Here is a 15,043-nt window from a genome sequence, read left to right on the forward strand (position 1 = left end):
GTTTGAAATTTTTTTCTTTTATAAAAGGAACCTAAAAGTTTAAACAGAGTGTGGTATGAAATTTTTTATTTCAGTGGAAAGAGATATTTAACTTCTTGGAAAACAGTGTCCTCTTCCTCCTCCTCCACCATGTTTGAAAAGAAATGTCTTTTACGTAGTGATGTTTCCGCCGTATGGTTTCTAGATAATTGTCACTAAATTTTTATAATCATAGATCTTTGCAGTTTACTCTCTAAGCCTGATGAAATTAAGCCAAGGGCTGGATCTGGCCCATGGATTAGAAGCCCATTCATTCCTTATCCAGGAAAGGACCAGAGAATAGTTAATTAAGAATGTGGCTTTAACAGAGCTAAACTGCTTGGATTTGATTTCCTGCCCTGCCACTTACTGCCTATAATTTTTGACAAATAATCTAACTTAATCTCAGGTTGTACAGTGTGCATAAAATGGGAATAGGCCAGGCACAGTGATCATGCCTGTAATCCTAGCAGTTTGGGAGGCTGAGGCAGGAGGGCCACTTGATCACTTGAGGCCAAGAGTTTGAACATGCAGTGAGCTATGATTATGCCACTGCACTCTTGCCTAGGCAACAGAGCAAAATCTTGTCTCAAAAAATAATAATAATAATAATAAAGGAATAATATCACTGAACACATAGGATAGTTGTGAAGATTAATTCATACTTGTAAAGTGTTTGGAACAGTACAGCACCTAACATGTAACAGTCAGATATTATAAAGTAAAATAATCACAGTGATTCAGTGATTTACACATCTACGCTGAAGATTATAGTGAAGTTAATAGAAGATACAAATGCTGAACTAAAATTTATTTACAGATGTCAGATATTCAAACCATTCGTGGAAATGTAAGGAAAATCAAAAGAAGTCTTTTGTACAACAGATACCACATTACAAAATTTGTTGGCCTTTATAATCCCCAATTAGTGAAATGCCATATATTTGCAATAAAAAAAAATAGTAGAAAATCTTGGAGTGGAATGATTAAACAAAGACAGTAGAAATGAGAAATTTTTGCTAAATTCCATCCTTCCATAATCTCAATTTCAAGCATCCTACTTGATTACCTGTTACCACCCTGTCTTTCTGACTCTCTCTAGTGCTTTTATTCCAACAGTCCACCTCCACTACTAAAGCCTTCAGTTCAGTGACTCTGCTACCTCATTGTTTAATGTCTTATATCTGTGGTTTATAGTTTTTATCAAATTAGAAAACATTTTTGCATTTTTCTTCAAATACTCTCTACACCCTTACATCAAGATTCCAATTATGTGTACGTTAGGTCATTTGATGTTCCACAGCTTACTGATACTCATTTAAAAAATATTTCTATGATGTTCATGCCATCCCATACCTTTTTGGTCATATAGAATATGTATAGTAGCTGACTTAATGTCCTTGTTTACTGAATGTAACACCTGTGTCATTTCTGGGTCAGCTTCTTTTGGTGATTTTTTTTGTCTTGGTGATAGTTTATATTTTCCTGTTTCTTTGCATGCTTGGTAGTTTTTAACTGGATGTCAGACATTGTGAGTATATGTTTTAGGGGCTTGATTTTAAAATTTTTCTCTAAATAGTTTTGGATTTGGCTGTGATGCAGTTAGGTAACTTGGAATCAGTTTGATCCTTTTGAAGCTTACCTTTAAGTTTCGTTAGAGTGTGTCCAGAATATCACTCGGGGTAGGGCTACTTTGGCTCCACTATAGACTCAATAACTTTCTGTGGACTCTACCCAATGCCTGGCACTTTAAAGGGTGTTTCCACTCTGGCTGGTAGCAACACTAACTGTTTCTGGCCCTGTGTGCACTCTGCTGATTGTTCTGCCCATTCCCATTCCTTCCTAATGGTTCTTTCCCCAGTCTCTTACAGTTTTCTCACACCCAGGTACAGGTTAGTACTCAGCCACAGGCCTCAGGGACCTTCTGTATAGATACCCAGAGCTCCCTTGATGCCACAAATTCTAGTCACCTCAGCCTTTTCAAACTCTGAACTCTGCCTCTTAAATGTAGTGAAACCCCTAGCGGCTGTTTGGGTTTCCCCTCCTTGTGATGAGGCCTGGAGACACTCTCTAGGCAGTATGTTTGGACATTTGTAGCGCTCACCTCATTTGTTTTTCTTTTCTCAGGAAGCGCTGTCCTGCACTGCTTTTGGTTTTCTAGTTTGTTTAGGCAGGAGGGAAAATCTGGTTCCTGTTATTCTGTCATGATGGGAAGCAGAAGTCTCTTTCTCTTTTCACCTTGAAGTCCATTTTCTCCGCCTTACCCAACATAAATTCTCTTCTCAATCATTATAGTTGTTCCCTTCAATACACTTTTTGCTTCCTTGCCCCTGTCTTGTTCTGCTTGGGAAAAGTGTACAACCCTGGTTAAATCTGTCTCTTCACTTTTCAGTGCCAGTACCTGTGCAGCTGAATGTCACTCGAGAAAAAGACACAACCGTGCTATTTGCACCTTAAATCCATGACCACAATGAGGCCAGTCATACTGCATTTCCAGAGTCACTTATTCTTCCACTTTCCTAGATGTATTTTTCACATCTTTTCTGTCAACATTCTAACATTTCCTCCCCGATCTTCTCAGACATTGTCGTTATTTCCACATCACTGGGAAATTAAAGCAATAAAATATGAACTTCTCAGAGTCGTACGACATCTATCCTTGTACCAGCACCTACATGTACATTCTTTTGCCTTCTCCTCTTAGCCTGTAGTCACTTCCTCCACATATGCGCTAGATCCCATTCCCTCTTGCCTATCCAGTGCAATTTAAATTCACTAGCAGTTTCTCTCCCTTTCCCCACATCATCAACATTTCATATCCTGGAATGTTCCTGTCAGCATACAATCATACTGTATCCTAGCTTTAAAAAATTATTTGGCCAGGCGCAGTGGCTCACGTTTGTAATCCCAGCACTTTGGGAGGCTGAGGTGGGCGGATCACGAGGTCAGGAGTTCGAGACCACCCTGGCCAATGTGGCGAAACCCCATCTCTACTAAAAATAGAAAAATTGGCTGGGCATGGTGGCGGGCACCTGTATTCCCAGCTACTCGGGAGGCTGAGGCAGGAAAACCACTTGAACTTGGGAGGCGGAGGTTGCAGTGAGCAGAGATCACGCCACTGCACTCCAGCCTGAAAGACAGAGTGAGACTCCGTCTCAAAAAAAAAAAAAAAAAAATTATTATTTTTTCACTTCCTCTCACCCTATCAATTACCATGCCATTTCTTTACTCTCTTATACAGGAAAAATTGTGAAGGGTTGTCTGTACTCTTTCTAGTTTTCTTCTTATTTATTTTTGTTTTTATTTACTATTTGTTTTTTGAGATAGGGTCTCACTGTCGCTGTCGCCTAGGCTGGAGTGCAGTGGCGCCATCATGGCTCACTGCAACCTCCGCCTCCAGGCCTTAGTAGCTGGGATTATAGGCGCCACCATGCCCAGCTAATTTTTTTTTTTTTTCTTTGAGACAGTCTCCCCCTGCTGTCCAGGCTGGAGTGCAGTGGCACAATCTTGGCTCACTGCAAACTCCGCCTCCCAGGTTCAAGCAATTCTCCCACCTCAGCCTCCTGAGTAGCCGGGATTACTGGGGCCTACCACCACACCCAGCTGATTTTTGTATTTTCAGTAGAGACAGGGTTTCACCATGTAGGTCAGGCTGGTCTCGAACTCCTGATGTCAAGTCATCCACCCACCCCGGCCTCCCAAAGTGCTGGGATTACATGTGTGAGCCACCGTGCCCAGCCAAATTTTTTGTATTTTTAGTAGAGACAGGCTTTTTCCATGTTGCCCAGGCTGGTCTCGAACTCCTGGGCTCAAGTGACCCGCCCGCCTCAGCCTCCCAGTGTTGGGATTACAAGCATGAACTATTGCGCCTGGCTCCTCGTTTCTCTTAATTCCACTCTTCATTCCACTCTAATCTGGTATTTGTCCTTACTACTCTGCAAAAACTTCTGTGGACAAAGTTTCAGTAACTTCCATATTGCTGTTTCAGTGGTTATCTTACCTGATCTGTCAGGAGAAATTCTTAAAATTGATTATTCTGTCTTTCTGACACACTTTATTTACTTTTTGTCCAGAATACCATACTCTTGGTTTTCTTGCCACCTGTGCTCTGGTTGCTCTCTTTGTCTCCTTTGCTAGTTCTTACTCCTCTCTCCGCCTCTTAATGTTGGATATCTAAAACCTCAGGCTTGGGTCTCCATCTTTATGTATCACTTCTCTCACAGTGATCTCATCCAATAACAGGTTTTAAAACCCATCTGTATTCTGATGACTTCAAGTTTTTATTTTCTGATAGGCCTTTTAAATTCTAGATTTCCATATTGGACTGCCTATTCAACATTTTCATATGAATGTATAATAGATATGTTAAATGTAATACATCTAAAACCAGTCTCACAAGCTTTCCTTAATAAGCCTGTCAAATCTTCTTTTATTCTAGTTGATGGTAGTGCCACACTTACTGGACAAAAGCCTTAAAGTCATGCTTTACTCCCATTTTCTCATATCTCAGATGCTTACTGTTAGGAAGTCCTGTTAGTACCACCTTTTGGGCATCTAAAATTGAACCACTTCTCATACCTCCTACCTCCATTGCTATCACCTCAGTCCAAGTCACCATCAGTGCTTCCTAATCCTACACCCAGTTTTAACCCTTGCCCCTTATAATATATTCTCAACATAGTAATGAGGGAGATTTTAAAATGTAAATAAGATTATGACACTTCAGGCCAGGTGCGGTGGATCACACCTGTAATCACAGCACTTTCGGAGGCCGAAGCGGGCGGATCACAAGGTCACGAGTTAGAGACCAGCCTGGCCGACATGGTGAAACCCCGTCTCTACTAAAATACAAAAATTAGCTGAGCGTGGTGGTGCACACCTGTAATCCCAGCTAGGGCAGGAGAATTGCTTGAACCCAGGAGGCAGAGGTTGCAGTGAGCCGAGATCGCCCCATTGTACTCCAGCCTGGGCAGTAGAGTAAGACTCCATCTCAAAAAAAATAAAAAATAAAAAAGATTATGACACTTCTTGCTCAGAATCTTTTAATGGCTCTTCATCTCACTTATAGTAGAAACCAAAGTCTTTATAATGGCCTTCAGGGTCCTACAAGATCCAGCTCAGTAAGATCCAGTAAGCTAAGTTACTTCTATGACCTTATCTGCTCTCTCCACTTTGTTTACTTTGCTCTACCTTGAATACATTAAGCATGTTTCTATCTTATGTTCTTTGCATTGGCTGCTTTCTCTGCCTAGAATACCCTTTTTCCAGGTATTCCCCCATTGTCAACTCCCTGTTGGCTTCCCCACGGCCCATTTGTGTGAGAAGAAGAGTGCCTGTGAAGGGATTAGTTGTGCTGTAAGGAGTGAAGGATAGAATACCTTTTTCCAGGTATTCCCCCATTGTCAACTCCCTGTTGGCTTCCCCACGGCCCATTTGTGTGAGAAGAAGAGTGCCTGTGAAGGGATTAGTTGTGCTGTAAGGAGTGAAGGATAGAGGGGCAGGAGTATGGCAAATGTTGTAGTTCTCTGAAGAGCCAGTGAATGAGAGAATTGTAGACCTACTAGCAACTGTTGAGTCCAGCTTATTTGCTATTCTGAATAGTAATGAAAGAATTCAAGAGGCTTTGTAGCAAGTTAATAGAGATGAGGCAGCCTTCAGTCAGTCAGTGAAAACGTACATAAATCAAGGTTCATAGTCTGAAGATTCTTTTTCTTATTAATAAGGCATTCTGTTTTGTAGATAGTGGATTTGGTGTCCTGCCACTTAGTTATGATTTAATGATATGCTCTTCAGTTTAATAGAGAATAGGTCAAGGAACTACTTGAGCATCATTTTTGGAATCTATTATAAAAGTTTAATAGAAAACAATTAATTATTAAATTCCTTTTAAAATTGAGTATTAGGGAAACGTGTTTATTATGTGTTCCATCAAAAAGGAGAGCAAAAATATGTTTCCTGGTACTTAACAATGTCTATTAGGAGATTTCAGAGCCTAACCAGTGTTTAATTTATCTCCAGTACCTGTCTACTCTGGTACTCTGCACCTTTTATTTTTAATTGCAGGACTTACACTATATTTAATTTTATAAATTAGCAAAAGTGCTTGTGGAAATAGACTTAATTGAAATTAGAAAGTATCCTCTTGTTAAGAAGGTATTCTTTTTTCCATGTCAGTCAAGAAAAGTGTTCTTTCTATGGTTCTTTCATATTTGTTTATTTGCACACCTCTTCCTCATAGGGAAGAATAAAAGAAGAAAATGAGAGTTACAGGAAAATAATAAAAAGTAGAAAAAGTAATGTGAGGCCAGGCATAAAGTTATTGTACAAAGTATATGCCGCAGCATCACAATTCTGACTCTGAATTTCCCAGTAGCCAACACTAAGAGGAGTGCGAAGTTACTTACGTGATTCATTTAAGTCCATAAGGTAAAAAGAAACTAGTTGTTCAGGAGAGAAGCGTAGCTAATCCCAGTACTAAGTTTTTAGTGGATATCTCCCATGGGTCCTTATGATAAGAATACAGTGGCTGGGTGCGGTGGCTCACGCCTGTAATCCTAGCACTTTGGGAGGCTGACGTGGGCAGATCACCTGAGGTCGGGAGTTTGAGACCAGCCTGATGAACACAGAGAAACCCCGTCTCTACAAAAAATACAAAATTAGCCAGGCTTGGTGGCGCATGCCTTTAATCCCAGTTACTCGGGAAGCTGAGGCAGGAGAATCGCTTGAACCCGGGAGGCGGAGGTTGCGGTGAGCTGAGATCGTGCCACCGCGCTCCAGCTTGGGCAACAAGAGTGAAACTCTGTCTCAAAAACAAAAAGAAAAAAGAATACAGTGTGATAGAAGCAGGCATCTGGAGCAAGACAGTATATTAACTTTTAGGATGAACTATGTTCGTGAATATAAGCAGGATTTATAAGAGTATGATGTTAATTTGTGGTTCTTAACCTAGTTTGGGTCATAGACCATCTAACATTATTTTTATGTAATTTTATCATGAATTTGATAAACATGCAGATTGTGGACTAACTTCAAGAGATTCCGATCCAGTAGGCCTGAGGTAGGTTTTAGGAATCTGTATGTGTAATCACCACCTCAGATGATTTTCACGTAGGTTGTTGTCAGATCATATGTTGACAAACTGTTTCAGTGTTATAATTTCAGGGAGTTTGCATATTCCATACAATCACTGTATGCATCTCAGGTTCTTAACCTGAGCAATATCAACAGATTTGTATAACTGAAAAATAATCATGAGTCTGGGCCTGGTGGCTCATGCCTGTAATTCTAGCACTTTGGAAGGCTGAGGAGGGTGGATCATATGAATCCAGGAGTTCGAGACCAGCCTGGGCAACATGGCGAAACCCCGTCTCTACTGAAAATACAAAAATTAGCCAGGTGTGGTGGTGCGTGTCTAATCTCAGCTACTCGGAGGCTGAGGCATGAAAATCACCTGACCCTGGGAGGTAGAGGCTATAGTGAGCCAAGATTATGCCACTGCACTCCAGCCTGGGCAACAGAACGAGACTCTGTCTCAAAAAAAAAAAAAAAATCATGAGTTTCATAGGGTGTTTGGTGCTGGTGTACTAGAAAGTTAGGTTTTACATTTAAGTCTTTAATCCATCTTGAGTTAATTTTTGCATATGGTATAAGAAAGGGGTCTGGTTTTACTTTTCTGCATATGGCTAGCCAGTTATCCCAGCACCATTTATTGAACAGGGAGTCCTTTCTCTTTTGCTTTTGTCAGGTTTGTTGAAGATCAGATAGTTGTAGGTGTGTGGTCTTATTTCTGGGCTCTATTCTGTTCCATTGGTCTTTGTATATGTTCTTATATCAGTACCATGATGTTTTTTGGTTACTACAGTGCTGTCGTATAAAGACACATGCACACATATGTTCATCACAGCACTGTTCACTCTAACAAAGACGTGAAATCACCCCCAATGCCCATCAATGATAGACTGGATAAAGAAAATGTGGTACATATACACCATGGAATACTATGCAGCCATAAAAAAGAACAAGATCATGTCCTTTGCAGGGACATGGATGGAGCTGGAGGCCATTTTCCTTAGCAAACTAATGCAGGAACAGAAAACCAAATATTGCATGTTCTCACTTATAAGTGGGAGCTAAATGATGAGAACACATGAACACATAAAGGGGAACAACACACACTGGGGCCTACCAGAGGGTGAAGGGTGGGAGGAGGGAGAGGATCAGGAAAAATAACTAATTGCTTAATCCTGGATAATGAAATAATCTGTACAACAAATCCCCATGACACAAGTTTACCTTTGTAACAAACCTGCACATCCTACACATGTACCCCAAACTTAAAAGTTAAAGAAAATCGTGACTTTTGTTGAAATTTACTGGCCAAAACAAACCAGATGGTCCTAGTTCAGTGGCTTACTGCTATAACCTCAGCATTTTGGGAGACTCAGGTGAGTGCATCAGTTGAGCCCAGGAGTTCAAGACCAGCCTGGGAAATATAACAAGACCCCATCTCTACAAAAAAATACAACAATTAGCTGGGCATGGTGGTGCGCACGTGTAGTCCCAGCTACTTGGGAGGATCAGGCAGGAGAATTGCTTGAGCCCAGGGGATCAAGGCTACAGTTAGCTATGATCACTCCACTGCCCTCCAGCCTGGGTGACAGAGCAAGACCCTGTCTTAAAAACAAACAAAAAACAAATCACATGGTCACATTTAACTTGAAAAGGAGTACTAATGACTAACACATATGGGGTCTCTCTCTCTCTCTCTCTCTGTTTTTGGCAATGTAATTGATCATTATTTTTCCTAATATTGCACTACTTTTACATTCCAGAGATAAACTGTATGATTATGAGGTCTGATTGTTTTGATATGACACTTGTTTGATTTGATAATATTTATTTAGATTTTTGCATCTTTGTTCTCTGGTAAGATTGGCCTGGAGTTTCCATTTCTTACGCTTTTCTCAGCAGTTCAGTGTCAGGGTTTTTTGTTAGCATTATAAAAGGAGATGAGTATTTTTCTGTTTTTTTTTTCTCCTCAGTTTTCAGAGTTTACATAGATTTCCAATATACTTTTTGTGAGTTTAGGACAACTACAAAATTAGATGATACAGTCTCCATATAAGACTATTCTCACTTCTGACACCAACTGTAAGCTTGGGGGATTCCCAAAACCACTCTCAGGTTTGATAATTCATTAGAAAGGCTCATAGCATTTAGTGAAAGCTGTTGTACCCATAGTTATGATTTGTTATAGGGAAAGGATTCAGATAAAATCAGCCAAAGGAAGAGACTCATAGGGCTAAGTTTAGGAGAGTTCCAAATGCGAGCTTATCTTGCCCTCTCCCCATGTGGTCAGGACACATTTCTCTCCCGGCATCAATGTATGACAGTATGCACGAGTACCATCAAATAGGGAAGCTCACCCAACCTTTACTGTTGAGTTTTGATGGAGCTTATTCACATAGGTGTGATTGATTACTTGCTCACAGGGATTTCAGTCTCCGTGTTGAGTGACCCCCTGTGACCCCAAACCCGTATCTCAAGTTGTATTGTTCGTCTTCCCAGTTGGTGAGCCTCTACATAGGATTATATAGGTGTGGACAGTCCCCTCCCTGAATTGCATTATTAGCCAATCCAGTATGACCCAAGGCCTCCCAAAGACATACTTTTTAGACGTAACTTTCTAAGTGTCCAGAGATTATCTACTAGAAGCCAAGAAGAAAGACCAGACTGTCTCCTTGGACAAGGCCAAATTCTTCACTAAACACATTTGTACAATTTTTCTCTTTTATGATTGTCTTCCTGTGATTCCTCAATAACGGATTAAGCCTGTAGGGATTCCATTATGGAAAACTGGTTCATTTAAATTTGAGCCCTTCATTTCTCTAGCTGTCTCATAAAAATTACAGGATACTTTTTATTTAACTGCATTTAAATTAAACTCCCTTTTATCTTTTTTTTTTTCAAGAATAAAGGTTCTCTTCAGTTTGAAGACAAATGGGATTTTATGCGCCCGATTGTTTTGAAGCTTTTACGCCAGGAATCTGTTACAAAACAGCAGTGGTTTGATCTGTTTTCGTAAGTACCCCACTAATTCTGTTTGCTAGCATAAAGGAAATTTTAGTGATGTCTTTCCATACCCAAATGGAATGTGTAACTCTAAGTTTATCTGTTTACCTATTAAAAAGTATTACTAGTTACATTGAGGGTCTCCAAGACCTCTCCCAGGTATGATGATTTGCTAGGGGGCTCACAGGACTGAACATACAATCATACTCACAGCTTTGAGTCATTACAGTGAAGGGATCCAAAGCAAAATCAGCAAAGGGAAAAGGTACATGGGGTGAAGTGCAGGAAAAAACAAGCACATGCTTCCAAGAAGAGTCCTTTCCCAGGGGAGTCACACAGGACACACTTAATTTTTCCAGCAATGATTGACAGCGTGTGATATGTTGTCTACCAGAGAAGCTTATTGGAGACTCAGTACTCAGGATTTTTATGGGGGCTGGTCACATAGGCAGTCTCTCTCAACATGTACCAAAATCAGTGTAAACCATATTGTTTATATAAACAGTTTAGGTACAGTGAGCCACTGTTATTTCAGGAAAGTGTAGGAAACTGTTGACCATTCAAGTTCTCAGATGCCAGCCAAAGGCTAATCTTACAAGCAGGCATTTCTAGGGGATGCAGTCTCAGGGGTGCTGGTAGTTGGTGCTGTTAGGTATGATTGTAAGTTCAGCAGTCAGGTTGAATTAAAAGGACTCATGGCAGCTTGGAAAGGGAACCCTGAGAGATTTCCTTTAGGAAAAGGGGGAAAGCTTTCAGGACTAGTTGTGAAAAGCAAAAATCATTAATGTCCTCCTCCTCCGCTGTCTCTTCCCAGCTGCTGTGTTTTGTTTTTTCTTCCTAATAAAATCAGTGTATCCCTTTCAGTAATGAAAATTTCATGTCTTCTCAATCATCCAGACCTGCATGAGGGACAAAAGTCTTTTTCACTAAAAAACATTTTTAGACAACTTAATTAGAAAGACATATTATATTTAGGAATTGGTCAGGATGAAATCCTGAATTTTTAAAACTTTTCAAAATGGGCTTATGTTATCTCCCACCCCTTTTGTCCTGATCATTTATCTAGTGGGTAGCCTAGAAAACATCAGTTCCTTTCTGGGGACAGCTGCATTTAATAACCAGACTGACTTACTGAGGTGTGTGTGTACCAGGAGGGGTGACAGGAAAGAGAGAACTAGAGTCAGGTTATTAAATCTGTTGTTGCAAACTGTAACCAATCCAGAAAGGCAAACACAAGTCAGTAGCAGTGAGACATCTCAAGAAGGGGTCAAAATCTAATCTGTAAGAAGTGGGCGAAGGGGCTACACTCTTTGTGATGTGCCCCCTCCCAACTACAGCTTTTGGTAGGAACCACCAGTTGGGAATACTGTTAATCTCCATATCAGATACATAAGACCAATCAGCAGCTTGATTTTGGATAGTCCCATCAGAGAATAAGCCTTTTTCTTTGGTTATCTGTGAGTGGTTGAGGTGGTCCAGCCAGAATCCATGATGTTTTCATAGTTTCTGGCTCCACAGGAGGATATCTTTTAAATATTCAGTAATCTTTGACGGCCAGACAAAGTGGCTTACGCCTGTAATCCCAGAACTTTGGGAGGCCAAGACAGGGTGATCGCTTGAGCCCAGGAGTTCAAGACCAGCCTGGGCAACATAGTGTGAGACCCTGTCTCTTAAAAAAAAAAAAAAAAATTATCTGGGTGTGGTGGCACATGCCTGTAGTCCCATCTAATTGGGAGCTGAGGTGGGAGGATTGCTTGAGCCCTCAAGCAGATTGCTTGCTGCATTGAGGCTGCAGCAAGCCGTGACTGTGCCACTACACTCCAGGCTGGGTGACAGCAAGACCTTGTCTCAAAAAAAAAAAAAAATTGAGGCAAAGTCCTGTTTATTGAGTATATGCCTGCTTTTGGTTCAGCACAGCTTGTGTTGAGGTTGAAATAGCCCAGTAGCAGAGTGTCAGGTTTCAGCCTAGCCTCAGATCCAGGTAATTGAGATCTGTGATTTCAGGATTCCAAAACAGTTAGTGTCTTGTCTTTGGCAGCAGTAAAGCCAAGATACTGCAGGCTCGCAGCCATATTTCAAGTCCGAGTGATCAGCGAGACTGTCCTAAGTCCTTTTTACCTTGTCTTAGGATCCAACTTGATCTGCTCAAAAATATGCACATCAGGCTGGAAAATCATCAGCTTCTAAGGGTCAGACATCTAATTTCACAAGAATTCAATAGCAATGAAAAACTGCATTTAAAATTCCAAAAGTGTATTTCTTCCATCTGGAGATTTCGTTTGTTTTCATGTTGTCTCTCTTTTTCCAGGGTCATCAGTAGTTAAAAAAGTCATAGTAAATATCATCCATTGTGGAGATTTATTCTGCTCCCAATACTCAGAGAGTTTAAATTCCAGTCCCTTCAGCAGAAAAAAGCAAGAAATTTTGTCTCACTAACTCTTCCTGATTGGGACAATCCCTCTAGCATTTATGAAATGACTAGCAGCATATTACATATTATGTCAGTTTTGATTATACATCTAGATGCAATAGCTGCAAAGTACAAAGTCATCTTTCAACCCCCCACTTTACTTTAAATTTATTTATTTATTATTGAGACAGAGTCTTGCTTTGTTGCCCAGGCTGGAATGCAGTGGCACAATCTCAGCTCACTGCAACCTCCACCTCCCAGGTTCAAGTGATACTCCTGCCTTGCCTCTTGAGTAGCTGGGACTACAGGTACCCACCACTGTGCCAGGCTAATTTTTGTATTTTCATTAGAGACAGGTTTTCACCATGTTGGCCGGGATGGTCTCGAACTCTTGACCTCAAAGTTACCTGCCCACCTTGGCCTCCCAAAGTGTTGGGATTACAGGCGTGAGCCACGGTGCCCAGCCATCCTTATTCCTTATTTTAAATTTAATCAACCCCCAGCAGTAAATTCAGTGTTTATAAGAGTAACACATTACAGCTGCTGGGAAATCCTGACTGGAATGCAAGGTGTAGGGAGGAACTGCAGGCAGCAGCAGCTAGTCTGAAGAAACAGCTGGAGTGGTTCACTCTCCCCACTCCTGTTTCTCCCCTAGTTTATCTAAAGCTTTGCTCCAGCCCTGGGCTCTGATCTTGCTATTATTTTTTCCTATTTAGAGGAGAGAGCATACAAACTTTTAACATTTTTGGTCCACCCAAAACTCACCTTTGGGAACTTTTGGGCCTCTTCCCACCTGGAGGCAAGAAAAAAAAAACAAAAACAGAGACATCATCCAGACTCTGTTTTTTCTCTCTTCACTTTAGTCAGCATGGCCAGAAACTGCCAGGGGAATGAGGTAGCCAATTTTCCTGGTTTAGAGCTATCATTTTCAAATTTCATAGGTAATTTTTACCTGTCACAACAGACAGAAGCTCAGCTGCTGTTTCATACTGTGAATGATTTTATAGCCACCCAAGCAGCAAATGTTTGTCATCCTACTGCTTCTTCCCTCTTCATGAGTCCAACTTCTAACACCAGCTGTGTTGGCAATCCCAAGGTCACCCCTAGGCTCAGTGATTGCTGGGAGTATTCATGGGACTTACCATGTAGTTGTATTCATGGCTATGAATTATTACAGTGAAGGAAGCAAAGCAAAATCAACAAAGGGAAAAAGTGTGTGTGGCAAAGTCCAGGAGAAACGAAATCCAAACTTCCAAATGTCTTCTCGCAGAGGAGTCACACATTAAGCTTAATCCTCCAGCAACTGACAGTGACAACACATATAAAATATTGTCTACCAGGGAAGCTAATTAGGGGCTCAGCACCCAAACTTTCTACTGGGGGCTCGTCATGTAAGCAGCTTCTGCCTGGCACATACCAAAATTCGAGACTGGCAGAAGAAAAGGAAGTGTTCAACGTAAGTCACACTGTTTGTGTAAACAGTTTGGAAATGTAAAACATTCTCATTAAGGAATGATGGGAATCCTCCCAAAAATCCAAATTGCCACATCCTAGCCAAAGGCCAGTCTTGCACACGGGTCTGTCTTAGGATAGCAGTCTCAGACACACTATTAAAATGCTGTATCAATGAATTATAGATGTATAATTGCATAAGCTGTACACATTGGGCTATTGTAATCGTTTTCTCTCTTTATCACTTAAAATATTCTAATTTCCGAAATGATGTAGGACCTTGCTGCATACTATCAATTAACTTATACTTCTTGCCTTTGGGAAATTAAAGTTTAGTAAGAAACAGCTGAGGCCTTTTAAAGCTTTATTACATTCATGTATACATATATTTTTTGTAAATTATTCAATTAAACTATTTTATGAATGATATGTTGGGTGTGGTGGGGTGTTTTGTTGTTAATGTTGTTTTTGCCAGTCTGTGTTGATAAGATTTATTATTGAGAATAGTGCTTGTTCTCTGAGTACTCCTGACTTAGAAAAGGAGCATAGCCCTACTAAAGGGGACTTCAAAGTAGAAATCGTCAATAACCTTTTACTTGCTACAGTTAGTGGCCTCAACATGATGTTTTTAAAGATCTTTTGGCCAGGTGTGGTGGCTCACACCTGTAATCCCAGCACTTTGGGAGGCTGAGGTGGGTGGATTACCTGAGGTCAGGAGTTCGAGACCAGCCTGGCCAACATGTCTACTAAAAATACAAAAATTACCTGAGTGCGGTGGTGGGCCTCAGTAATTCCAGCTACTTGGGAGGCTGAGGCAGGATAATCACTTGAATCCGGCAGGCAGAGGTTGCAGTGAGCCAAGATTGCACCATTCCACTCCAGCCTGGGAAACAAGAGCAAAACTCCATCTCAGAAAAAAAAAAAAAAAAGATCTTTCATCTCCTTGGAGTACCTAAAGCAGTTCAGTGTATCGTCCTTTTAGGTAAAGGGATTTCTGACTGACAATAATTAAAACCCTTGTAAATTTTAGCCATATTTTGGCCATGTTAATCGTTAACATTTAGGTTGCTTATATCTTTCTAAATCTTAGTT

The 15,043-nt window shown here is 40.7% G+C and overlaps 1 protein-coding gene across 5 annotated transcripts in view, besides 1 other annotated feature; it reads left to right on the forward strand.

The window, feature by feature from the left end:
• Positions 1-15,043, forward strand: part of CUL5 (cullin 5) — a 98,864-nt gene that overhangs the window by 14,916 nt on the left and 68,905 nt on the right. For all 5 annotated transcript variants that reach the window (NM_003478.6, XM_017018363.3, XM_005271682.3 and 2 more), the window contains exon 2: positions 9,989-10,098. In NM_003478.6, coding sequence (NP_003469.2) covers positions 9,989-10,098 — 110 coding nt within the window. The remainder of the gene's footprint in view (positions 1-9,988; positions 10,099-15,043) is intronic.
• Positions 2,108-2,207: an enhancer, noted in NCBI's record as "active region_5480". NCBI's record gives its function as "activates an Ori minimal core promoter by ATAC-STARR-seq in GM12878 lymphoblastoid cells {active_cell/tissue: GM12878}" and the evidence as "EXISTENCE:reporter gene assay evidence [ECO:0000049][PMID:35858748]".

This window comes from Homo sapiens, chromosome 11 (genome assembly GCF_000001405.40).
Source record: "Homo sapiens chromosome 11, GRCh38.p14 Primary Assembly".
Taxonomy (NCBI): Eukaryota; Metazoa; Chordata; class Mammalia; order Primates; family Hominidae; genus Homo; species Homo sapiens.